The following is a 25,106-nucleotide window of genomic DNA, read 5'->3' on the forward strand; positions in this document are numbered from 1 at the left end:
GGCTGGTCTAAGTCATTTAATTTTCAAACCACCCTGCTATTTATCCACACTTTACAGATAATGAATCTGAAGTTTCCATCCACCCATCCCCTCCTCCGCTCAGGCGCTCACCAAATCTTACACTCATGAGGTGCTCAGTAGCCTGTGCTTTGGGGCAGCCCACACTTCTTAGCACACCTGGCCCTCCTGACCCAGCCAGATGTCTGGGCAGGCCTCGGAGCTCCCAGACCAGTCACCGCACCCTGTTTCAGCCGCACCTGGCCACCTTCCCTCCCCCGCTGGGTAGCTTGGCAGCTGCCAAGGCTCCTCATTCTTCCTCCTGCACACCCAGCTGTTTGGGCACTGGCAAATGCCAGGCAGGTGAGGTGCCTCAGCTTCCATCGGCCCTGCTACCCTTGCCCTCGAGGTGCAGCATAGGCGTGGGGTGGGGAGCAGGGGAGAGACAGGGTGTCTCCCAAGCTCAGGAGCGCTGAGACTAGACTGCAGCTGAATCACAGCATTAACCCATCTAGAACCAGGGCTCAGGAGAACAAAAATGCCTGTGCATGGCCAGCTGGATCGAGGGAGAGACATGATGCCCAAGAACCTGAGTACCCAGGAGGTGCCCTCTGCCCAGATGTGGGAACAATTTCTCTCACTCATCAAACTTAGATCAAGTGGCCCCAATCTCTTCCTTTATTCTCAACTATTGGTTCAGGACCCATCATGAGGTCAGGAAGGAGAGGGAAAGCAGGGTCTTCCTGCCATAAATTAGTACATTAAGTCTTTCTTTCTTTCTTTCTTTTTTTTGACAGTCTCACTCCATCGCCCAGGCTGGAGTGCAGTGGCACCATCTCGACTCACTGCAACCTCCACCTCCGGCGTTTAAGCGATTCTCCTGCCTCAGCCTCCTGAGTAGCTGGGATTTCAGGCGCCCAGCACCACGCCTAGCTAATTTTTGTATTTTTTAGTAGAGACAGGGTTTCGCCATGTTGGCCAGACTGGTCTCGAGCTCCTGGCCTCAAGTGATCCACCTGCCTCGGCCTCCCAAAGTGCTGGGATTACAAGTGTAAGCCACTGCGCCCAGCCAGAAATTAAGTCTCATAGAAATTCAATGTTGGGCCGGCGCGGTGGCTCATGCCTGTAATCCCAGCATTTTGGGAGGACGAGGAGGGTGGATCACCTTTAGTCTCTACTAAAAATACAAAAATTAGCTGGGCGTGGTGGCCCATGGCTGTAATTCCAGCTACTCGGGAGGCTGAGGCAAGAAGAATCGCTTGAATCTGGGAGGCAGAGGTTACAGTGAACTGAGACCGCACCACTGCACTCCAGCCTGGGTGACAAGAGCAAAACTCCGTCTCAAAAAAAAAAAAAGAAAGAAAGAAGAAGAAATTTAATGTTGGTGTCACCAAGAGATTGCTTCTGGACTCAGTAAATTGAAGCCCAAATTTGGAACTGAAGGCCAGAGGTGAGCAACCTGTCCCAGTGCTCTGCAAGGCGGCCGATGCCAAGCCAGCACCCTTCCCACCATTCTGTGCTGCTTTGTGTTAGAGGAAGGAAATGTCCTGTGTGAATGTACTTTTAACAAAAAGAGAAGACAAAAATAGCCAAAGAATGCTATAAAGGACCCTGAAAATAATCTCCCATTTGTTCAGGGACCACTGAGTTCCTTGGTGGGGTGGACCCAGTGTCCTGCAGAAAGGAGACAATGGCTCAGGCCTTCAAGGATTTTCTTCCCTCCAGACCCACTCCTGTGGGGCTCTTTCCATCGGGGCTCAGGCCTGGGGGTGTTTCCTCACCCCAGTATTCCTGGAAACTCCACCTATCCCACAATTTCCCTGTCTCACTCACCATTCTGCAGCCAGAGGCAGGGCTTGTCAGTGAGGTAGGTGGGGCCAGAGCAGAGGCTTCATGTTTGGTGGCAGCAGGAGTTACCAGGCTAAGGCCTGGAAAGTCCAACACAGAGCTCTGTCCCTATCACTAACTCTGAAGCTCGCGCTCGGTGGCTTCCTGAAATTTCCCCTTCCAACTTCCCACCAGTCAGCCTACTCTCCACCTCCCTGAGAAGCAAGCTCAGCAGCCCATCTCTTGAGAAGGTGACTTGAAAGTGGGAGAAAGTCAAGAAAGAGTCTAGGCCACCAGACGCGGTGGCTCACGCCTGTAATCCCAGCACTTTGGGAGGCCGAGGAGGTCAAATCACCTGAGGTCAGGAGTTCGAGACCAGCCTGACCAACATGGAGAAACCCCATCTCTACTAAAAATACAAAATTAGCCGGGCATGGTGGCGCATCCCTGTAATCCTAGCTACGCAGGAGGCTGAGGCAGGAAAATCGCTTGAACCTGGGAGGTGGAGGTTGCAGTGAGCCGAGATTGCACCACTGCACTCCAGCCTGGGTGACAGAGTGAGTCTCAAAAAAAAAAAAAAAAAAGAAAGAAAGAAAGAAAGAAAGAAAAGAAAAACAAAGAGTCTGGCCTTAGAACCTGAAGCCCAAACATCTACTTCCGTCTCTGCTGTTTGTTAACTGAGTACCGGAAGCAACTCACCCACCTCCATGAGTATGAGTGTTTGCATCCATAAAATGAGGGTGAATTCCATCCTGTGAGAATCAAATGAAAATGGCCACATAGAAGAGAAAACAGCATCCCCAAAGTTAGTCCTCAGGAACTTAAGTCCAATGAGATACTCCATGGAGAAAAGTCTCCATGGGCAAATAGGTTTGGAAAATGCTCTGTCGTCTCTTGAAATTCATGATGCATGCTGGCAGGCCAAGCGCTCTGAGAAACCCTGCAATAAAGAGAACAGGTGAAAATTGTTTAACTACAGGTGTGTACCACCACACCCAGCTAATTTTTTGTATTTTTAGCAGAGACAGGGTTTCGCCATATTGCCCAGACTGGTCTTGAACTCTTGGCCTCAAGTGATTCTCCTGCCTTGGCCTCCCAAAGAGCTAGGATTACAGGTGTGAGCCACCGTGCCTGGCCATATCATGCCATTTATATAAGCGATTTGAGCGTCTTTGGATTTTGATATCAGTGGGGGTCCTGGAACCAACTCCCCACAGATACCAAGGGACAACTGTATTATTCAAATATATCTAAGTTATTCTAACATATGTTTTTTTTTTTTCTTTTTTCTTTGAGATGGAGTCTCGCTCTGTAGCCCAGGCTGGAGTGCAGTGGAGTGATCTAAGGTCACTGCAAGCTCTGCCTCCCGGGTTCATGCCATTCTCCTGCCTCAGCCTCTGAGTAGCTGGGACTACAGGTGCCCGCCACCACGCCCAGCTAATTTTTTGTACTTTTAGGAGAGATGGGATTTCACTGTGTTAGCCAGCATGGTCTCAATCTCCTGACCTCGTGATCCACCTGCTTTGGCCTCCCAAAGTGCTGGGATTACAGGCGTAGGCCACCGCGCCCGGCCTCTAACATATGTTTTATGCTGCTATAACAGAATACATGAGACTGTAATTTATTTACATTTATTTAAAATAGAGACAGGGGTCTCACTATGTTGCTCAGGCTGCTCTTGAAATCCTGGGCTCAAGCAATCGTCCTGCCTCAGCCTCCCAAAGCACTGGGATTACAGGTGTGAGCCACCACACCCAGCTGAGACTATAATTTATTTATTTATTTATTTAAATTTTCAATTTTTTTGTGGGTACATAGTAGGTGTATATATTTACAAGGTACATGAAGTGTTTTGATACAGGCATGCAATGTGAAATAAGTGCATCATGGGGAATAGAGTGCCCATCCCCTCAAGCATGAGACTGTAATTTTTTTTTTTTTTGAGATGGAGTCTCACTCTGTCGCCCAGGCTGGAGTGCAATGGTGTGATCTTGGCTCACTCCACCCACCCCCTCCGGGTTCAAGTGATTCTCCTGCCTTAGCTTCCCAAGTAGCTGGGATTACAGGCGCCTGCCACCATACCTGGCTAATTTTTGTATTTTTACTAGAGATGGGGTTTTGCCATTTTTTTTTTAGATGGGATTTCGCTTTTTGTTGCTCAGGCTGGAGTGCAATGGCACGATCTCGGCTCACTGCAACCTCCGCCTCCCAGGTTCAAGGGATTCTCCTGTCTCAGCCTCCCCAGTAGCTGGGATTACAGGTGCCCGCCACCACGTCCGGCTAATTGTTGTATTTTTAGTAGAGATGGGGTTTCACCATGCTGGCCAAGCTGGTCTTGAACTCCTGACCTCAGGTGATCCGCCAGCCTCGGCCTCCCAAAGTGCTGGGATTACAGGTGTGAGCCGCCACCTGGCCTTTTTTTTTTTTTTTTTTTTTCAGTAGAGATGGGGGTTTTGCCATATTGGCCAGGCTGGTCTCGAACTCCTGACCTCAGGTGATCCACTCACCTCGACCTCCCAAAGTGCTGGGATTACAGGCGTGAGCCACTGTGCCCAGCCAAGACTATAAAGAAAAGAAATTTATTGGCCAGGCGCGGTGGCTCATGCCTGTTCCCAGCACTTTGAGAGGCTGAGGCGGGCAGATCATGAGGTCAGGAGATCGAGGCCATCCTGGCTAACATGGTGAAACCCCATCTCTACTAAAAATACAACAGATTAGCCGGGTGTGGTGGCAGCCTCAGCTCCTCAGGAGGCCGAGGCAGGAGAATGGCGTGAACCCGGGAGGCAGAGGTTGCGGTGAGCTGAGATCGCGCCACTGCACTCCAGCCTGGGTGACAGAGCGAGACTATGTCTCAAAAAAAAAAAAAAAAGAAAGAAAGAAAGAAAGAAAGAAAAGAAATTTATTTCTTACACCTCCTGAGGCTGGGAAGGTTAAGAGCATGGCGCCAGCACCTTGGAGATGGTCATCTCATGGGAGAATGGCAGAAGATGGAAGCAAGTGCAGAAGACAGAAGAAATCAGCTAAACTCGCTTTGAGAACAAACCCAGTCTCGAGATAACTAACCCACTCCCATGATAAGAGCATTAATCCATTCATGAAGGCAGAGTCATCATGACCTAATCACCTCCTAAAGGCTTCATGTCAATTAAATCTCATGAGTTTCAGAGGGGACAAGAATTCAAACCATACCAATACCTAAATATAGATAAAGGCCAGGACACCCTAGGGTGTGCCTGTAGTCCCAGCTATTAGGGAGGCTAAGGCAGAGGGGTGTCTTAAGTCTGGGAATTTGAGACCAGCCTGGGCAACATAGTGAGACTCCATCTCTAAAAAAAAAAAAAAATAATAGACCGGGCACTGTGGCTCACGCTTGTAATCCCAGCACTTTGAGAGGCCGAGGCGGGCGGATCACGAGGTCAGGAGATTGAGATCACGATGAAACCCCATCTCTACTAAAAATACAAAAAATTAGCCAGGCGTGGTGGCGGGTGCCTGTAGTCCCAGCTACTTGGAGAGGCTGAGGCAGGAGAATGGCGTGAACCCGGGAGGCTGAGCTTGCAGCGAGCCAAGATCACGCCACTGCACTCCAGCCTGGGCGACAGAGTCAGACTCTGTCTCAAAAAAAAATAATAATAATAATAAACATAAATATAGATGCACACATCCATATCCATATACATTATGTATATTTATACATGCATAGAAAAGGTCTAGAAGGTACACCCCTAACTTAATAGGGGCTATCTTTTCAGAGGACATGGGATTAGGAAGGGTGAGAGTACAGCGAGGCTTGCAGTATTTCCATGTTGCCGTAGTCTTCCACTGTTGCTGCTGAGCAGCAGCTACGTGTTGTCTCTGTGTTGGTCCTCTGGCTTTCTATTCAGCATGCACTTTGGTATCCTGTGTCTTTGGTATTCTGTCCTCGTTACATACCCAAATGTGGATTTCTTATTTACTCTGCTTGGGATTCATGGGATTTCTTGATTTTGGGGATTTAAGGTGTTCATCAGGTATTCTTTCTTTAAAAAGTTCCTTTCTTGCCAGGTGCGGTGGCTCACGCCTGTAATCCCAGTACTTTGGGAGGCTGAGGCAGGCAGATCATGCAGTCAAGAGATTGAGACCATCCTAGCCAACATAGTGAAACCCCGTCTTTACTAAAAATACAAAAATTAGCTGGGCATGGTGGCGCATGCCTGTAATCCCAGCTACTCGGAAGGCTGAGGCAGGAGAATAGCTTGAATCCGGGAGGAAGAGGTTGAGCTGAGATAGTGCCACTGCACTCCATGGAGCTGGGTGACGGAGTGAGACTCCATCTAAAAAAAAAAAAGAAAGAAAGAAAAAAATGCCTTTCTTGGCCGGGCATGGTAGCTCACACCTGTAATCCCAGCACTTTGGGAGGCTGAGGAAGGCGGATCACCCGAAGTCAGGAGTTCAAGACCAGCCTGGCCAACAAGGTAAAACCCTGTCTCTACTAAAAATACAAAAATTAGCCGGGTTTGGTGGCACGTGCCTGTAATCCCAGCTACTTGGGAGGCTGAGGCAGGAGAATGGCTTGAACCCTGGAGGTGGAGGTTGTAGTGAGCCAAGACCGTGCCACTGCACTCCAGCCTGGGCAATAGAGTGAGACTCCGTCTCAGAAAAACAAAAACAAAAACAAAAATTGCCTTTCTCCTATTCTTTCTTTTCTTTCCTTCTGGGACTCAAATTTGATATAGTTAGATTTTCTCAGGATGTTCTGTCTCTTTCCACCTATTTCATGGTTTCCTAAGTGTCATAAGTATGTATCTCATTCCATTCCAAATAATCTTCTAACACCACATTTCTCCAGCATATTAGCTCTCTCTCCAGTTGGATTTAATAATTCTTTTTTTTTTTTTTTTTTTTTTTGAGATGGAGTTTCACTCCTGTTGCCCAGGCTGGAGTGCAGTGGTGTGATCTTGGCTCACCACAACCTCTGCCTCCCAGGTTCAAGCAATTCTCCTGCCTCAGCCTCCTGAGTAGCTGGGATTACAGGCACGTGCCACCAAACCCGGCTAATTTTTGTATTTTTAGTAGAGACAGGGATTCTCCATGTTGGTCAGGTTGGTCTCAAACTCCCGACCTCAGGTGATCCGCCCGTCTCGGCCTCCCAAAGTGCTAGGATTACAGGTGTGAGCCACCGTGCCTGGCCCAGTTGGATCTAATTCTAAACTGTAGTTTATCCCATCGAGTTTTACATTCCTTTTTTCCATACGGAATCTCACTCTGTCGCCCAAGCTGGAGTGCAGTGGCGCGATCTCAGCTCACTGCAACCTCTGCTTCCCAGGTTCAAGTGATTCTCCTGCCTCAGCCTTCCAAGTAGCTGGGATTACAGGCCCCTGCCACCACGCCTGGCTAGTTTTTGTATTTTTAGTAGAGAAAGGGTTTCGTTGTGTTGGCCAGGCTTTTTTTGTTTTGTTTTGTTTTTTGAGACAAAGTGTTGCTCTTGTCGCCCAGGCTGGAGTGCAATGGCGCAATCTCAGCTCACTGCAACCTGCCCCTCCCAGGTTCAAGCAATTCTCCTACCTCAGCCTCCCGAGTAGCTGGGATTACAGGCGCCTGCCATCACGCCTGGCTAAATTTTTGTATTTTTAGTGGAGACAGGGTTTTGCCATGTTGGCGAGGCTGGTCTCGAACTCCTGACCTCAGGCGATCCGCCCACCTCGGCCTCCTAAAGTGCTAGGATTACAGGCATGAGCCACCACGTCCGGTCTATTTTTATTTTTATTTTTGAGATGGAGTCTTGCTCTGTTGCCTAGGCTGGAGTGCCGTGGTGCGAACTCCGCTCACTGCAACCTCCGCCTCCTGGGTCAAGTGATTCTCCTTCTCAGCCTCCCAAGTAGCTGGGATTATAGGCACCTGCCAGCATGCCCTGCTAAATTTTTGTATTTTTAGTGGTGACAGGGTTTCGCTATGTTGGCCAGGCTGGTGTCGAACTCCTGACCTCAGGTCTCCCAAGTGCTGGGATTATAGGCATGAGCCACCGCACCCGGCCTATTTATTTATTTTTATTTTTATTTTTATTTTCGAGACTGGGTCTCACTCTGTCACCCAGGTTGTAGTACAGTGGCACAATCTCGGCTCTCTGCCACCTCCACCTCCCAGACTCAAGCAATCCTCTCACCTCAGCCTCTGGAGTAACTGGGACTACAGGCACACACCACCACACCTGGCTAATTTTTTGTATTTTTTTGTAGAGACAGGTTTTCGCCATGTTGCCTAGGCTGGTCTTGAACTCCTGAGCTCAAGCGATCCATTCACCTAGGCCTCCCAAAGTGCCGGGATTACAGGTGTGAGCCACTGCACCCAGCCGGACAATTATATTATTTATGTTTACAAGAATGAATCAGAGGGCAGATGCATTGGCTCATTCCTATAATCTCGGCACTTTGGGAGGCTGAGGTGGGAGGATCACTTGAGGCCAGGAGATTGAGACCTGTCTGGGCAACATAGGGAGATCTTTGTCTCTACAAAAAAAATTTTAAAAAAACATTAGCTGGGTGTGATGGTGTGCATCTATAGTCCCAGCTACTCAGAGCGAAACCCTATTCCCCATCCCCAACCCTCCTAAAAAGAATAAGTCTGTGGAAGGCTGGGAGCAGTGGCTCATGCCTGTAATCCCAGCACTTTGGGAGGCTGAGGCAGGCGGATCACCTGAGGTCAGGAGTTTGAGACCAGCCTGGACAACATGGTGAAACCCCTGTCTCTACGAAAAATACAAAAATTAGCCAGGAGTGGTGGCAGGTGCCTATAATCCCAGCTACTCAGGAGGCTGAGGCAGGAGCATCGCTTGAACCTGGGAGGCGGAGGTTGTGGTGAGCCGAGATCCTGCTACTGCACTCCAGCCTGGGCAACAAGAGTGAGACTCTGTCTCCAAAAAAGAAAAAAGAGTTCTGTGGAAAAAGAAAGGCATTCCCTGCAGGTGTCAGCAAAGGTAAGGAGGTCCCAAAGAACAGGAATAGTGAGGAGTCCTTGGGGGAGGATGGGGAGGTTGCCCAAGCTCATCCTTTATACTTGAGACCTCTGGTCCAGAGAAGTGAAGTGTTCTGCTCAGTGTCACACCACTGGTCAGGGGCAGACCGGAATCAGAAAGTAGGCCTTATTTCTTCATCAGAGTCTAGGAAGCCGCCAGGGGAAAGAGGCTGTGCTTTAGAAGGTTAAGGCCTATGATCCACCCTGCGTCACCCAAAGTAAACTAGGAAGGAAGTGTAAATAAACCCCACAAAGATCGGACATTTTTCCATGATGACCACATTGATGCATTTATTAAAAATACAAAATGCTAATAATCCAAACCAGCCCTCTTCCCTTTTTTCCCCTTTGGGAGCCCTTGCACTGTGGTGCATGAAACACATGCTTGAACTAGGCCATTGGGAACTGCGGCTTGGACAAGGAACAGCCACAGCTTTTCCTGTACTCAGAGCAGGCAAAGTGCCATTAAATGCAGCTGGAAGCCAGGGCAGGGGAAGGGGTGGGAAGCTCCTGGAGAGCCCCCAGCTCCTCCCAGTTACTGACTGGCTCTGGAGGAGAGGAGCTAGAAGGCCGAGATACCTGAGGAGACAAACCTGGGGCACCACTGCCACCTGATGTCTTCCTATGGCCATTGCAGTGGTCACAGCCCCAAGCCCCGTGGCAGCCTGGCAGCAGAGTGAAACAAGAGGGCAAAGAAAGCCTATCGGTGGAAGTTTTTATTTACCCTTGACGGTGGGTACTCCCAGACAGTGGGTATGTCTGAAATACTTCATATTGAAGAAAGACATCCATATTGAAAAACTAAACAGAAAACATAAATGGAAAATGAATCAACATATACAAAGTAGCCACAGTATGGAGGTGCGGATTTGACTTTGCCTGCGGAAGAGCTGTCCTGCTCTGGCCAGCACTGGAAGGGACTCTGCCTCCTCTGTTCTGGGAGCGTGCAAGCAGGAACTCTGGACTGGGCTTTGCACAACTTCCAGGAGTCATTGCTTAGAAATCAGAATGACCAAGATCTTAAGGTCTTAGAATCATCTAGGTAATCCACCCCCATCCCAGCTGCCAGGTCACAGTCACACAGAGGCTGAGCACGCCCAATGCCATGCCCAATGCCACCCAGTCTTCCCCTGCTGCTGTTTCTGCCTCGCCTCCCTGTCCTTCCCCTACCCTACCCTAGCGTGGGCAGGCTTTGTGTCCCAAGGTCACCAGTGACATATGTCCCACCACAGGCAGCCGAGCTTAACCCTATCACTGAGACCTCCTTGTGGCTGCTCCCTACCCCTCCCTGCCTGGCTTCCTGGCATCCTGCCTCTAACCTCTCTCTCTGCTTCCCTGTCTTCTACATTGGTAGAACTGCCACTTGGATACGTGTGACAACTTGCTGTCACCAGCCTGGATATTTCTCTGGAGCACTCCTCACATTCAACACTTGACCACTCAGGCATCGGGACAGTCACTGCCCAGATCCCCCCGTCCACATAGGAGCTCAGCATGACAGCCCCTCTTTTTTATTTAATTTACTTATTTCAATTTTTATTTTTATAGAGAAGACGTCTTTCTATGTTGCCCAGGCTGGTCTCAAACTCGTGGCCTCAAGTGATCCACCCACGCTGGCCTCCCAAAGTGCTGGGATTACAGGCATGAGCCACTGCACCCGGCCCAGCCCCCTTTTAAAATGTTTTCTTTTGAAATAATTTAAAGCTTACAGAAAAGTTGCAAGAATAGTACAAAGAATTCCCTTATGCCCTTTGCCAAGAGTCATACATTTTAACGTTTTCAAATTTTGCTGCATTTGCTTTCTTCCCTTTGACTCTGTCTACTTCTCTCTCTTACACACACACACACACACACACTTAACCTGTAATATTTCAGTGTATTATTTCCTTAGAACAAGGATGTTCTCATACATAACTGCAGTATAATTATCAAATTCAGGAAACTTAACACTGAGTTACTAATTTTACCTGGTGGGTCACAGTAGCTCATGCCTGTAATCCCAGCACTTTGGGAGGCCGAGGTGGGTGGATCACGAGGTCAGGAGTTCGAGACCAGCCTGACCAAGATGGTGAAACCCCCATCTCTACTAAAAATTTAAAAATTAGCTGGGTGTGGTGGCGGGTACCTGTAGTCCCAGCTACTCAGGGGGCTGAGGGAGGAGAATGGCTTGAGCACAGGAGGCGGAGGTTGCAGTGAGCCAAGATCGTGCCACTGCAGTCCAGCCTGGCCAACAGAGCGAGTCTGTGTCTCAAAATAATAATAATAATAATAATTTTACCTAATTAAAGTTCATATTTCAATGTAGTCAAATGTTCCAAAAATGTCCTTTATAGTACTCTTTTTCGGTTTGGTCCAGGATCCCATCCAAGATCACACATTTCATTTAGTTGTCATGTCTCTTGAGTCTCCTTTAATCTGGAACGGTTCCTGGGCCTCTCTTTGGTCATGTATGACACTGATATTTATAAAATATGCAGGCCAGTAATTTTATAAATTTCAACTTAGGCTTTTTCAATATTTCCTTTCCTTGTGTATTTCTTTTTTTTTGAGACAGAGTTTCACTCTTGTTGCCCAGGCTGGAGTGCAACGGCGCATTCTCAGTTCACTGCAACCTCCGCCTCCCAGGTTCAAGCAATTCTCCTGCCTCAGCCTCCCAAGTAGCTGGGATTACAGGTATGCACCACCACACCCAGCTAATTTTTTGTATTTAGTAGAGACGGGGTTTCACAATGTTGGTCAGGCTAGTCTTGAACTCCTGACCTCAGGTGATCCACTTGCCTCGGCCTCCCAAAGTGTTGGGATTACAGGCATGAGCCACCGTGCCTGGCCATGTATTTCTTGATTTCTTGCTCTGAGTACCAGTGGTCCAGCCACTCCCTCAGGTCAGGAGCCAAGAGACCATCCTGAATCCATCCCTCTCCCTCACTCCCATCTACCCATCCATCACCAGATCCCAGCACCTAAAGCCCTTCCCTCCCATGCCCCAGCTTCTGCTATGACTATAATTATCATCATTCCTTACCTATCATCCATCCTTTGTCTTGCTCTCAGCAATTACACGGCTTCACACTGCTCCCTTCTTAAACCCTCTACAGGCTGGCTGCTCAAAGGGTAGCAAAAGGATCAGCAGCTTTGAGAGTCTGTTAAAAATGCAGAACCTCAGGCTGCGACCCAGAGCTGTGGAATCAGAATCTGCGTTTTAACAAGTTTCCCACGTGTTTGAGAAGTCCTGCTCTCATAGATCCCTAGGCTTACAGACTCCTCAGAATGGCGTTCAGGGTCCCCCCCCCCCCGCCCACCACAAACCTCTCCTACCTTGTTCACAGGTATGAATGCATGGTATTTCCCCTTTGAACACAATTTCTTTTTCCTGGAACACCCTGTCTCGTGAGACTCCTGCTGAAGGTTAGATTTGAACATCGCCTCCTATGGGGTCCACTGCTTGCTCTGGAGCCCCATGTCCTCTGGACCCCTCTCTATCCTAGCTTCTGTTACATGGAAACGTTACACCTAAGACCTCGTCATTTTTAGTGACTATTTCTCCCACTAGCCAGTGAACGCCTTGAGACAAAGCCTGCATCTTACACACTTCCTTATCCTCAGTGCTCAGCACAAGTCAAACGTTTATTGAATGAGAGAAACAGCTTTTCCTCCATAGAGGCCCTTCCAAGTAGATTTGAAGTGGGTATTGCAAAGGGGCCATATGCAAAGGGGCCATCCAAATGCCAGAGCCACGGTATGTTGGGACAGGGGCAGTCACAGAGAACATCTACTTATCTAATTCTTTTTTTTTTTAATTTTTTTTTTTTTTGAGACAGGGTCTCACTCCTGTCACCCAGGCTGGGGTGCAGTGGAACAATCTTGGCTCACTGCAGCCTTGACTTCCCTGGGCTTGGGTAATCCTCCCACCTCAGCCTCCTGAGTATCTGGGACAATAGGCATGCACCACCATACCTGGCTAATTTTTCGTATTTTTAGTAGTTACAGGGTTTTGGCATGTTGCTCAGGCTGGTCAAGAACTGCTGGGCTCAAACTATCCACCCACCTTAGCCTCCCAAAGTGCAGGCATTACAGCCATGAGCCACTGCACCTGGCCGGAAAATCTAGTTCAAATGCATTTGTTATTTGTGAAGAAAGGCCCCAGAGGGAGAAGTGACTTACTCCAGGTTTCTCTGCTGGAGAGATGTAGCCTGAGTCACTATTGATTCATGCTTTGCCCTTCTTGGAGCCAAGTGCCCTTAAGTGTGATAAGCAGAGAAATAAAAATCAAAGTGAGTCACGGATGAATGAGCACATAATGGAGATTGTTTTGTTTTAGAGATGGGGTCTCACTATATTGCCCAGGCAGGTTTTGAACTCCTGGGCTCAAGCAATCCTCATGCCTTAGCCTCCCAAGTAGCTGGGATTATAGGTGCACAATTTGTAAAGTTTGAAAACATGAGGCCTGGCGCAGTGGCTTACACCTGTAATCCTAGCACTTTGGGAGGCCAAGGCAGGGGGATCACCTGAGGTCAGGAGTTCAAGACCAGCCTGACCAACATGGAGAAACCCCGTCTCTACTAAAAATATAAAATTAGCTGGGTGTGGTGGCACATGCCCGTAATCCCAGCACTTTGGGAGGCCAAGGCAGGGGGATCACCTGAGGTCAGGAGTTCAAGACCAGCCTGACCAACATGGAGAAACCCCGTCTCTACTAAAAATATAAAATTAGCTGGGTGTGGTGGCACATGCCTGTAATCCCAGCTACTCGGGAGGCTGAGGCAGGAGAATCACTTGAACCCAGGAGGCGGAGATTGTGGTGAGCCGAGATTGCACCATTGCACTCTAGCCTGGGCAATAAGAGTGAAACTCCATGTCAAAAAAAAAAAAAAAAAAAGGAAAAAAAATCTGAATCTATCTTCTTGCTTAGGAAATAGTCATACCAGGGAAGGATAAGTGTTACCTTTATGGGGGTTGGGTGCAGCTGAAGAGTTTATGATGAAGTCAGGGTAGGCAAGGGGCTTCAGCTAAGCTGTTCATTCTTAAGCTGGTGTGTGAAATATAAGTGTTGATTTTTTGTACATCTTTGCATACTTTAAATTTTTAAAATCTGAATCAGATCACACCTTGGATGGAATAGTTTTCCCCAAAATTTAAAGTGAGTTAAGTTTTGCCCATGGTTTTGAGTTAACCAACTCTTGACCTTGTGGGTGTCCACACATAAATTTTTCTATAGTAAATGCAAACTTTCTGCATGGCAGGCTTCAAGCTCTAACAAGCAAGTTTCAGAGAGCAGGGGCATTCTAGAAACAGAATCCTGACCTCTCAGTGAAGCATAAAATGAGCAGAGGCTAAGGATGAGGTTGCATCTTAGCATACGGGCTAAAGAGGTCGTTTCATTTTACAGGCAAAAAAAAAAAAAAAATTAAATTCTCAATAATGGGTTGACTTAATTTGCAATTTTAGGAAGGATAGATCAGACAGGAAGCCAGCTGACCTTTGCAGCAATCCAGGGAAATATTACTTGCTCAAAGTAAACTTTAAAAAGCATGGTGGCTCACATCTGTAATCCCAGCACTTTGGGAGGCTGAGGTGGGAGGATTGCTTGAGCCTGGAAGGTCGAAGCTGGAGTAAGCCGAGATCACACCACTGCAACTCCAGCCTGGGCAACAGTGAGACTGTCTCAGAAAAATATATGTATATATAATATAATCAAATATGCCTGAACCCCTGGTTTTCCAACCCATACCTAAAGGACCATGTGTTTTCTATTCTGGGCGTCCCTCTGTGCTTCAGCCCAATATATTTTGTCCCCAGTAGCCCCCAGCATCACATTATGTGTGGGCACTGCAGCCTTGACCTCCTGGCCTCAAGTGATCTGCCTGCCTCGGCCTCCCAAAATGCGGGGATTACAAGCATGAGCCACTGCGGCTGGCCTCAGGCACACTTTTTATGCACCCATTTCATCTTGCAAATCAATCTGAACCACAAGTTTTTGGAGTCAGAGCTTCTTGAGGAAATGTGGCCATCCCAAACACTAATTTTAGTTAATGTGGTCCCAGGACCTTAAAGGGAAATGTAATTCTCCTTAAATCCATCAAGAACTAGGCAGAGAGCATGGGTTCAAGATCTTTTATTTTCAGAGCTTCCAACAGTTGGTTAGTAATGCTAGCTAAGCTGGTATAATCTGAAGGCCATCCCACCTTTCTCTTTAGGCAGTCAACCAACAGAATCTCTTTCTTACAAACAATATCATTAACCAGTTGGAATCTGTCTCAATGCGCGTGTAGGAAGAAGTCCTCTCCCCCACATTTTTCCCAACAAGATTGTTTTATAGCCAAATGTAACTCAAACCCGTAACACAGCAACTAGCCATCTCCAGTATCACTGATTCCCACCCCAAGAAGTTGAGGTAAGAGGGGAGAGACTGTCTCCTGTTTAAGAAAAACCCACCTACACCTCAGTGAAGCCGTGATGGTAAGGAGGCTGGCACCAGAGGGCAGGGATGAGTAGGCACTGAAACAGGTCTCTCTAGAATCAATGAAGTCTGCCCCAGCTCCTTGGATGAGGTGTTCTTTTGAAATTCCCACTTTTATGGAGTTAGATAAGGGGACAACCGGTGATGATTCATCACTCCCTGTCTCTAAAATTAAAACATGATAAACCCAGAAAGTTTTACCTTCAAAATCCACCAAGCTCCCTCCTGAGAAAATTCTATCCAGTCATGTCCATGCCAGCACCCACTCCCTTCTCCTAATGCCCAGGGCTTCCAGCCCCTCTCCTCACCCTTGGGTGGTCCATCCAACACTGATTTGATACTCTTTGACTCATAATATGACCATTTTTTAAAAATTAGAAAATAAAAGCTATCAATATCACAGCAACATAAGGAAGATACTCAGTGGACATGCTCCTCCCCCATCCTGTGGAGCCCACCTACCCCCACCCCCCTTCCCTGGGAAACCTACACTGCAACATTCCAGCACTGAGCCGGGGGTGGCCCAACAGATGCTGCCTCAAGTGCTTTCCTGACTGTGGCTCCTATACCAGCCAATGTCATGGAACTGGGGTGAGGAAGAACAGGGCCACACCTCCCACCAAATAGATATCGGTAGCCAGTGGTGGGTCTGGGAGATTTAGCTTATGTCAGGCAGCCAAGCCTGGGTCCAACGCTCTCACCAGGACCTCAGTTCTTGGCTTAAATAGCAGCAGCCCCAGTACCACAGCGCCTCCTGGGGGTGACAGAGCACCTAGCTTTCTGTCCGATAACTTATAACAGGTTTGCATTTTCTTACCCACTTCTTTTTTTTTTTTAAATTAAAAGCCGAGGTAGTCCCTGGGATAATAAAACCCTACCTAGAATGGCAGTATTTCAACCTAATGAAGCAGTAAAATAAGTCTCCAGGAGTTAGAAAAAAAAATAAAATAAAGTGATTGATGAAGTTGAATAAATTAAACATATGGATTATCCCACAAAGACCTTTCCTTCCCAGGTTGTCTTTGCTATTTGGCCAGCAGCATTTCTGTGTAACTTCTCTACTCCCCTCCGTCTCCTCTCCCCTCATGAGATGGCTGGAGCCCGATAAGGCCCCGGCTGGTTCATCCCACTGTGGCTCAGAGCAGCTTGACACGGTGCTCAGAACTGCATTGTGGCACAGTTCTGATATGGACGGAGGACGTCTAACAGGGACAGAAGAGGCGTAGCCAGCAAGATGCCCTGGGCTCCAACCTTGGGAGTGTGGGAGGTAGGTTTAAGGCATGGAAGTCCCAGGCCCCCTCTCCAAATGTCACACAGCTGTCCCCTTTGCTTAAGTTTCTCTGCAGCAAAGAGGGTAAAGGGGGATGGAGGGAAGCTTGGGCTGCTGCTGGCTGGTCCTGCCGCCCTCAGAGCTTCTTCAGACGACTGTACATCTCCCTCTTGCTCTTCTCCCCTGCCCAGGTCCGGCTCTTGGTGCGGAACTTCTTCAGGTCTTCTTTAAAGTCCTCGTGGTGCATGGGCCGGTAGCTAGGGGGCTCACAGTAAGACTGAGGGGACAGGAGAGAATAAGGTTAGGGTACACCTGCCTCACACCCACAACCTGGTTTCCTCTCTGCCTAGGGCTACAAGGCTGAAAGCGGCCAGGCAGACCTAGGGAGCCAGTTCTACAGGGGCTTTCTTTGGGTTCAGCAGATACCCACCTTGTCCCCCGACCCCTGGAAAGAAAGTCATGACCACCAGACAGATCCATTAGTCTACCACTGGGGGCAGGGGAGGAGAGATGCTCTCCACAACCCCAGTCTTACCTGGCATTTCATAAAGAACTCCTTGTATCCCCCCTTCAGGACATACAGCTCAGGGTAGTGGAGTTTGGGGTATTCATTACCCAGGCGATCTCTCTCTCTCACATACCGGCACCTAGTCAGGGGAAGGAAGGCCAAAGCAGGGTTAGCTTTTCCAGCACAGCAACAAGGCAACGCAGTCAAAGCAGCAGTTGTGGTCTAAGTCCCCCTTATACACATCTTCCCAACTTGACATTTATTCTTAGAAACAATCAGTGCTGAGTTGCAAGTTCCTGGCCACATGAGCAGCACTCACAGCCAGTGCCAGTAGATGGTCTCTTCCCCAATTTTCCTTTCTCCAACAATCCTAGCATCTGAGTCCTGCCCAGCACCTTCACCACCACAGTTTGTGGCAAGTTTTCACTATATGAGCCAGCTTCCCCTTGCTTTCTCCACCCCAGCCTTCTCTTCAGCCAGGCTCCCTCACTCACCTCCTTCTACATAAGTGGGCTTGTTTCTTTCTGTGGCTTTTAAAGAGGCTGAACTTGCTCCTGCCTCGGGGCCCTGTTTCTATCCTCTACTTGGACTGAATGGTCTTCAATATCCAGCCAATGGCTGCTTACTGCCTCGCCCTTGGTGAAAAAGCCCGAGGCCCCAAGTCCTTCAGAGGCCTACAGCTCTACAGGCCCCTACTGCTGCTCTGCCCCTTGTTCACCCCACGCCAGCCCCTGCAGCCCCACTACTGTTCCTCCAGCCTGCCTGGGAGCTCCACCACTGGCCTTATTTTCCTCTGAAGCACCTTCTTTTTTCTGAGACAGAATCTCACTCTGTCACCAGGCTGGAGTGCAAGGGCGTGACCTCAGGCTCACTGCAATCTCCGTCTCCCGGGTTCAAGCAATTCTCCTGCCTCAGCCTCCCAAATAGCTGGGACTACAGGCGCGTGCCACCGCCCAGCTGATTTTTGTATGTTTAGTAGAGATGGGGCTTCACCATGTTGGCCAGGATGGTCTCGACCTCTTGACCTTGTGATCCACCTGCCTTGGCCTCCCAAAGTGTTGGGATTACAGGAGTTAGCCACCGCACCCAGTCACCTTTTTTTTTTTTTTTTTGAGATGGAGTCTCACTCTGTCGCCCAGGCTGGAGTGCACTGGCGCGATCTCGGCTCACTGCAACCTCTGCCTCCTGGGTTCAAGGGATGCTCCTGCCTCAGCCTCCAAAGTAGCTGGGATTACAGGTGTCCGCCACCACGCCTGGCTAATTTTTGTATTTTTAGTAGAGACGGGATTTCACCATGTTGGCCAGGCTGGTCTCGATCTCCTGTCCACTCCGAAATGTAAGTTCCATGAAGGCAGAGATTTTTTGGTCTGTTTTGTTCACTGCTCTTCTCCCTCAGTATCTAGAAAGGTATCTGGTACACAAGAGCCAAGAGTATCTGCTGATTTTCTCTTGAAGCTCAGTGGTTTGGGGCCTTTGTTAGCTGCTCATGAGGGATGGGCAGCAGCTTCCTCTGCAGCACGTAGCTTAAACCATTTGCCTGTGGTTAAAAGGAGTTTGGCTGGGCGCGGTGGCTCACACCTGTAATTCCAGCACTTTGGGAGGCTGAGGCGGTGGATCACGAGGTCAGGAGTTCGAGACCAGCCTGGCCAAGATAGTGAAACCCTGTGTCTACTAAAACTACAAAAAATTAGCTGGGCGTGGTGGCAGGTGCCTGTAATCCCAGCTACTTGGGAGGCTGAGGCAGAGAAATGCTTGAACCCGGGAGGAGGAGGCTGCAGTGAGCCGAGATTGTGCCACTGCATTCCAGCCTGGGCGAAAGGGCGAGATTCCAACTCAAAAAAAAAAAAAAAAAAAAAAAAGAGTTCACCTGTGAATCCCAAATCTTTCCCCAGTGGAACAACAGAAAGCCAGTGATGGCGAAACTCAAGTGGGGAACGAAGTGTAAGGGGTATCTGTAGATGGTGATATAAACATGCAGCTTGCAAATACAGAATACAGAGATGGGGCGTTTTCTGTATATCTAGGTGAAGTTTCAATATGGTATAATAATGTCCTTTATATTAGAGGTGTTAAAGAGGAAGATGGGGAAATGAGAGATTAAGAGAATAGCATCTTTTGGGCTGGGCATGGCGGCTCACACCTGTAATCCAAGCACTTTGGGAGGCCAGGATTGCCTGAGCCCAGGAGTTTGAGACCAGCCTGGGCAACACAGTGAGACCCTGTCTCTATAAAAAATACAAAAATTAGCCAGGCATGGTGATGCATGTTTGTGGTCCTAGCTTCCTGGGAGGCTGAGGTGGGAGAATCACTTGAGCCTGGGAGGCAGAGGCTACAGTGAGCTGTGCTCCTGCCACTGTACTCCAGCCTGGACAACAGAGACTGACCCTGACTCAAAAATAAAAAAAAAAGAGAGCAGCATCTTTTGTGGGTTTAAAAACAATTTACATGTGTGTGTATGTGTGTCCAGATTAGTTTGTTTCAGGCCTATAATCCCAGCACTTTGGGAGGCTGAGGCGGGTAGATCACTTGAGGTCAGGAGTTCGAGACCAGCCTGGCCAATGTAGCAAAACCCCGTCTCTACTAAAAATACAAACATTAGCTTGGCATGGTGGCATGCACCCGTAGTCCCAGCTACTTGGGAGCCTGAGGCAGGAGAATTGCTTGAACCCGGGAGGTGGAGGTTGCAGTGATCCGAGATCGCACCACTGCACTCCAGTCTGGGTGGCAGAGCAAGACTACATCTCAAACAAACAAACAAAAAAACTGCTGAGTGAATAATTCCATTCATGAATGAGCATCCTTTGGAGACAGATGTTTGAAGGACTTATGAGATGACAGTCAAAAGTGTCAAGTTGTACTGTAGTTGCCTGTGTGTAGAGCATGTACATACAAATGTGACAAAATGTTAAAAATTAATAAAATCAGGTGAAGTGTGTGCAAGTATAACCTTTGTGTGTGTGTGTGTGTGTGTGTGTGTGTGTGAGAGAGAGACAGAATCTCACTCTGTCACCTAGGCTGGAGTACAGTGGCATGATCATGGCTCACCACAGCCTCGACCTGCTGGGCTCAAACGATCCTCCCACCTCCTATTTTTTGTAGAGGTGTGGTCCCACTGTGTTACCCAGGTTGGTCTGGTCTGAAACTCCCGAGCAAGTGATCCTCCTGCCTCGGCCTCCCAAAGTGTTGGGATTACAGGTGCCACTGTGCCCAGCCATAACCTCACCTCTTCTTGAGCTTTAAAATGGTTCAGGTCAGGCGCAGTGGCTCACGCCTGTAATCCAAGCACTTTGGGAGGCCGAGACGGGCAGATCGCAAGGTCAGGAGATGGAGACCATCCTGGCTAAAATGGTGAAACCCTGTCTCTACTAAAAATACAAAAAAATTAGCCAGGCGTGATGGTGGGCACCTGTAGTCCCAGCTACTCGGGAGGCTGAGGCAGGAGAATGGCATGAACCCAGGAGGCGGAGCTTGCAGTAAGTCGAGATTGTGCCACTGCACTCCAGCCTGGGTGACAGAGCGAGACTCCGTCTCAAAAAAAAAAAAAGGTTCAAAGGGGTGGGCACAGTGGCTCATGCCTGCAATCCTAGCACTTTGGAGGCCAAGGAGAGAGGATTGCTTGAGGCCAGGAGTTTGAGACCAACCTGGCCAATATATTAAGACCCCATCTCAAAATTTGAAATTTCTGCTGGGCGTGGTGGCTCACACCTGTAATCCCAGCACTTTGGGAGGTCAAGGCGGGTGGATCACCTGAGGTCAGGAGTTCAAGACCAGCCCGGCCAACATGGTGAAACCCCCATCTCTACTACAAATACAAAAATTAGCCGGGTGTGGTGGTGCACGCCTGTTATCCCAGCTACTCAGGAGGCTGAGGCAGGAGAATCGCTTGAACCCAGGAGGTGGAGGTTGCAGTGAGCCGAGATCATGCCACTGCATTCCAGTCTGGGTGAAAACAGTGTGCCTCCGCCTCAAAAAAAAAAAAAAAAAAGAAAGAAAGAAAGAAAGAAAAAGCCAGGTGCAGTGGCTCACGCCTGTAATCCCACTACTTTGGGAGGCTGAGGCAGGCGGATCACCTAAGGTCGGGAGTTCAAGACCAGCCTGACCAACATGTAGAAACCCTGCCTCTACTAAAAATACAAAATTAGCCGGGCGTGATGGCGCATGCCTGTAATCCCAGCTACTTGGGAGGCTGAGGCAGGAGAACTGCTTGAACCTGGGAGGCAGAGGTTGCAGTGAGAAGAGATTGTGCCACTGCACTCCAGCCTGGGCAACAAGAGCAAAACTCCGTCAAAAAAAAAAAATTGAAATTTTTTAATTTAAAAATGTTTTTTAAAATAAATTGGTTCAAAATAAAAAGGTGGCATAAGAACGTGGTCCTGCAGAAGTCTCCCTTGGACCATCCTAGTTAAGCTGCACTCTCTGTCCTACCTCTCTGCCTGTCCTCCTAGCATTTATACGGATCCCCACTTGGATCTCTGCTGCAGTAGGGTCCTTGTTGGTCCTGCTCGCTGTGGTATTTTTACTGTACTGTGTTTTACTGTAGTTACATTTTTATTGTCAGTGCCTGACAAACAGCAGGCTTGCAATCCTTTTAGAATGGACACAGATGACTGATGGGCAGCTCTTTGGCCCCCTTTTTTCTTTTCACCCTGAAATTGGTAATAATATCAAGTGTTTCAAAGCATCATATCATATGAGGTTTTACAGAATGAGAACTTCACACTTTTCTGGCATTTGCATAAGGAACGGTCACTTTGTACTTGAAGGAGGTCACATGAGAACAGTAGCCCCACAGATCAGACTAAGGACAGTCGGGGAGACTGGAAGAGCCAAAGTTCACCTCAGGATAAAATTACATATGAAAATGGCTTGTTATGTGCCAGAGGTTGCTTGATATGCTAAAATATGCTCCAAGTGCAAGCCACAAACCACCATGTCCCACAAAAGCATCATGGAGCCTGTGCCCCAGAACCCAGTTCCGTGCAGCACTCACATGCGGGGACCTCTCTCAGAAGAAAACTCGCAGTGAAACACAACAATGACACGCTTGCCATCAGTAGGTACAATGGGCTTCTTCAATAAGAAGTCTTCAACCTCTTCTTCCATGTGCAAGTTCACTGCACCCTGTGAAGACAACAGAGACCCTTGGAACCTGCACGTTTCACACATGAAGTAATGATTCAGCAAGATGTAATGATTCATCAAGAGTGATCTTTAAGTCCACAAGACCAGTTTGTGATTTTTGCAGTTCTTCTAGCTGAATAGCCCAGTAGACCATTTGGCACCTGTATCTCAATGGAGCTTTGTGGGTCCGTACACGTTCATCATACAGTAATGCACATGGGGACTGGAAATGGGCAATTCAAATATGACAATGGTACACTTTATAGGTAGTTTTATAAATTTGGGGATTTTCAAAAGCCACAAGACAATGGCAAACAGTAACATCGTATTTAAAGTACCTCCTTACTATATTTAAACACTATTAATCGGGTAAAACATTAAAATGGCAGGCCAGGCGCCGTGGCTCATGCCTGTAATCCTAGCACTTTGGGAGGCTGAGGCGGGCGGTTTGCCTGAGCTCAGGAGTTTGAGACCAGCCCGGGCAACATGGTGAAACCCCGTCTCTACTAAAAAAAAAAAAAAATTAGCCGGGCGTGGCAGCGTGCACCTGTAGTCCCAGCTACTTGGAAGGCTGAGGCAGGAGAATTGCTTGAACCCAGGAGGCAGAGGTTGTGGTGATCCGAGATCATGCCACTGCACTCCAGCCTGGCGACAGAGCGGACTCTGTCTCAAAAAAAAAAAAAAAAAAAGATTAAAATGGCAAAATCAGTTCCTTTCTTCTTGGGAACGTGTGTCCCAACACGCCCCTCCACCAGGCAGCTTGCTGAACAATCAACTTTGGAGGCATCACTAGGCCTGGCACAGACACCAGGACATGTTGCCAGAGATGGTCTTCTCCTCATCAGGAGCCCTGGGGTGCTCAGACATTGGTACCCAAGCCTCTTAAATGCTATGAAACCCATTCTTGTCCCCCGAATGACTTAAACATCAGTGGGTACCTCCTACAAGTGTCCTTGATAATGATGGTGTGAGGGACAAACATGAAGAATAACTGTGCACAAGGTGGTAGAGAGTATTGCAGACAAGGGAACATTCGTTAAGAGCACCCGGAATCAAATGCCTTCCACACTCACTGTATTGTTTCAAAATTCTAACAACTAGCATATGAGCTAAGTGGCCAGGTGTCACTGTCCTCCCCACTTTAAAACCACAGATCCTGTTTAGGGCTCCTTCTACAGCAAGTCTCAGGAATCCATACCTTGATGTGGCCTCCCTCGTATTCATATGGGTATCGACAGTCGATGATAACAAACTCTTTAATGAGGTTGGCAAACTTGCCATTCAAAACAGATGCCATCTGTTGAGAGAAAATTAGGGAGAATCAACTTTGACCGTCAGGGAAAACTAGATTCAAGTACCCGATGTGTGGTGGGTTTCAAAAGGATGGACTTACAATTTCTGGAGAGATGTATTTTAAATCCTGATGTTTCCCAGCAACTGTATGAAAGAGATAACCCTTAAAAAGAAAAAAAGATACTTAGAGAATCTGAAAGCCTATATATTATTCACACTTATACTGTTTTGTCTGGCTGGTAGGAGGCATCTTTTAAAAAACAAACATTAATGGCCAGGCACGGTGGCTCACACCTGTAATCCCAGCACTTTGGGAGGCCGAGGCTAGTGGATCACCTGAGGTCAGGAGTTCGAGACAAGCCTGGCCAACATGGTGAAACCCCAACTCTTTTAAAAATACAAAAATTAGCCGGGCGTTAGCATGCACCTATAGTCCCAGCTACTCGGAAGGCTGGAGTGGGAAAATCGCTTGAATCCAGGAGGCGGAGGTTGCAGTGAGCTGAGATTGCACCACTGCACTCCAGCCTGGGTGACAGAGCAAGACTCCCTCTCAAAAAACAAACAAACAAACAAGCAAACAAACATTAGTTAGTACACACTAGTTACTCTTCTAGTTACTTCATTAACATCCTGACATTTAATTTTCACACAAACCAATGAGGTATATTATCCCCATTTTGAGCACCTTATCCAAGGTTACCTAGCTAGTAAGGCAGATTTAAATAAAGAAACCTCAGGTAATCTCATTTTCCTCCTGCTTTTGTCAAGAATCCACACGTCAGTAGTTAGACTGCGAATAGCACTTAAACATACAGATTTCACTCATTTACTGAGCACCTGCTATGTCCAGCATGGTGCCAGGCACTGGGGATAGGAAAAAAAGAGACCTAGCCCAGCCTTGAGGAGGAAGATGCACACATTAGCAATTACTCATTAGGGTGACTGGCTGAGCCAAGAGTTCATCTATCCCCATGCATAGGCCCATTAAGACAAATATAACCAGGCCTCAATTCAAGTTGAAAATTCCACTGAGTGTGGTGGTGCATGCCTGTAGTCCCAGCTACTTGGGAGGCTGAGGCAGGGGGAGCACTTGAGGCCATAAGTTTGAGGCTACAGTGTACTATGATAGCATGTGCGAATAGCCACTGCACTACAGCCTGAGCAACATAGTAAGACCACATCTCTCCCTGCCAAACAAGAGAAGGTTCCAAAACTGAGGATACAGCTGGATCTTTGCTTGTTCTCTTCATTCTCCGTTCCTTCAAAACCCATTTGGGCTGAAATATCAACGGCCCAACCCCAGACGTTCCCCAACCCCCTAGCCAAGATAAACCCTTTTACTTCTCACGGCATGCTGTTTATGTTTACACCTCACTAAAATTTATTTCAGTCTACCATGTGGTACATGTAGTTCACGTCTCACCTCTCCAACCACATGCTAAATTCTTTGAGGGAAGGAACTGTATCTCATTTTGGAATCTCTGCCTAACACATAAGTGCTTCAATAAATGTTAACTAAATTAATGAATAAAACATTGATCTGGTAACCTTCAAGTCAAAATGTGATTAAAGAAGCTGCTATTGACACATTCCCTGTCCTAGCCTTGTATTTTACTGCAGCCAAGCCTTCATGTAGTATATCA

At 48.0% G+C, this 25,106-nt stretch overlaps 1 protein-coding gene and 1 pseudogene across 6 annotated transcripts in view, besides 1 other annotated feature; one reads left to right on the top strand and one right to left on the bottom strand.

The window, feature by feature from the left end:
- Positions 6,064 to 6,253: a silencer, noted in NCBI's record as "fragment chr3:48189821-48190010 (GRCh37/hg19 assembly coordinates)". NCBI's record gives its function as "represses an EF-1alpha promoter that drives an FKBP-Casp9 reporter gene in an ReSE screen in K562 erythroleukemia cells {active_cell/tissue: K562}" and the evidence as "EXISTENCE:reporter gene assay evidence [ECO:0000049][PMID:32094911]".
- The window catches only part of CDC25A (cell division cycle 25A), a 31,272-nt gene continuing 21,044 nt past the window's right edge, over positions 14,879 to 25,106 (bottom strand). For all 6 annotated transcript variants that reach the window (XM_047449366.1, XM_047449364.1, XM_047449365.1 and 3 more), the window contains 5 exons: positions 23,564 to 23,626; positions 23,369 to 23,467; positions 22,040 to 22,170; positions 17,077 to 17,188; positions 14,879 to 16,818 (listed from right to left, as the gene is read on the bottom strand). In XM_047449366.1, the coding sequence (XP_047305322.1) occupies positions 16,678 to 16,818; positions 17,077 to 17,188; positions 22,040 to 22,170; positions 23,369 to 23,467; positions 23,564 to 23,626 (546 nt within the window). In that variant the 3' untranslated portion in view covers positions 14,879 to 16,677. The remainder of the gene's footprint in view (positions 16,819 to 17,076; positions 17,189 to 22,039; positions 22,171 to 23,368; positions 23,468 to 23,563; positions 23,627 to 25,106) is intronic.
- SNRPFP4 (small nuclear ribonucleoprotein polypeptide F pseudogene 4) lies at positions 18,910 to 19,147 on the top strand (annotated as a pseudogene).

This window comes from Homo sapiens, chromosome 3 (assembly GCF_000001405.40).
Source record: "Homo sapiens chromosome 3, GRCh38.p14 Primary Assembly".
In the NCBI taxonomy this organism is placed as follows: Eukaryota; Metazoa; Chordata; class Mammalia; order Primates; family Hominidae; genus Homo; species Homo sapiens.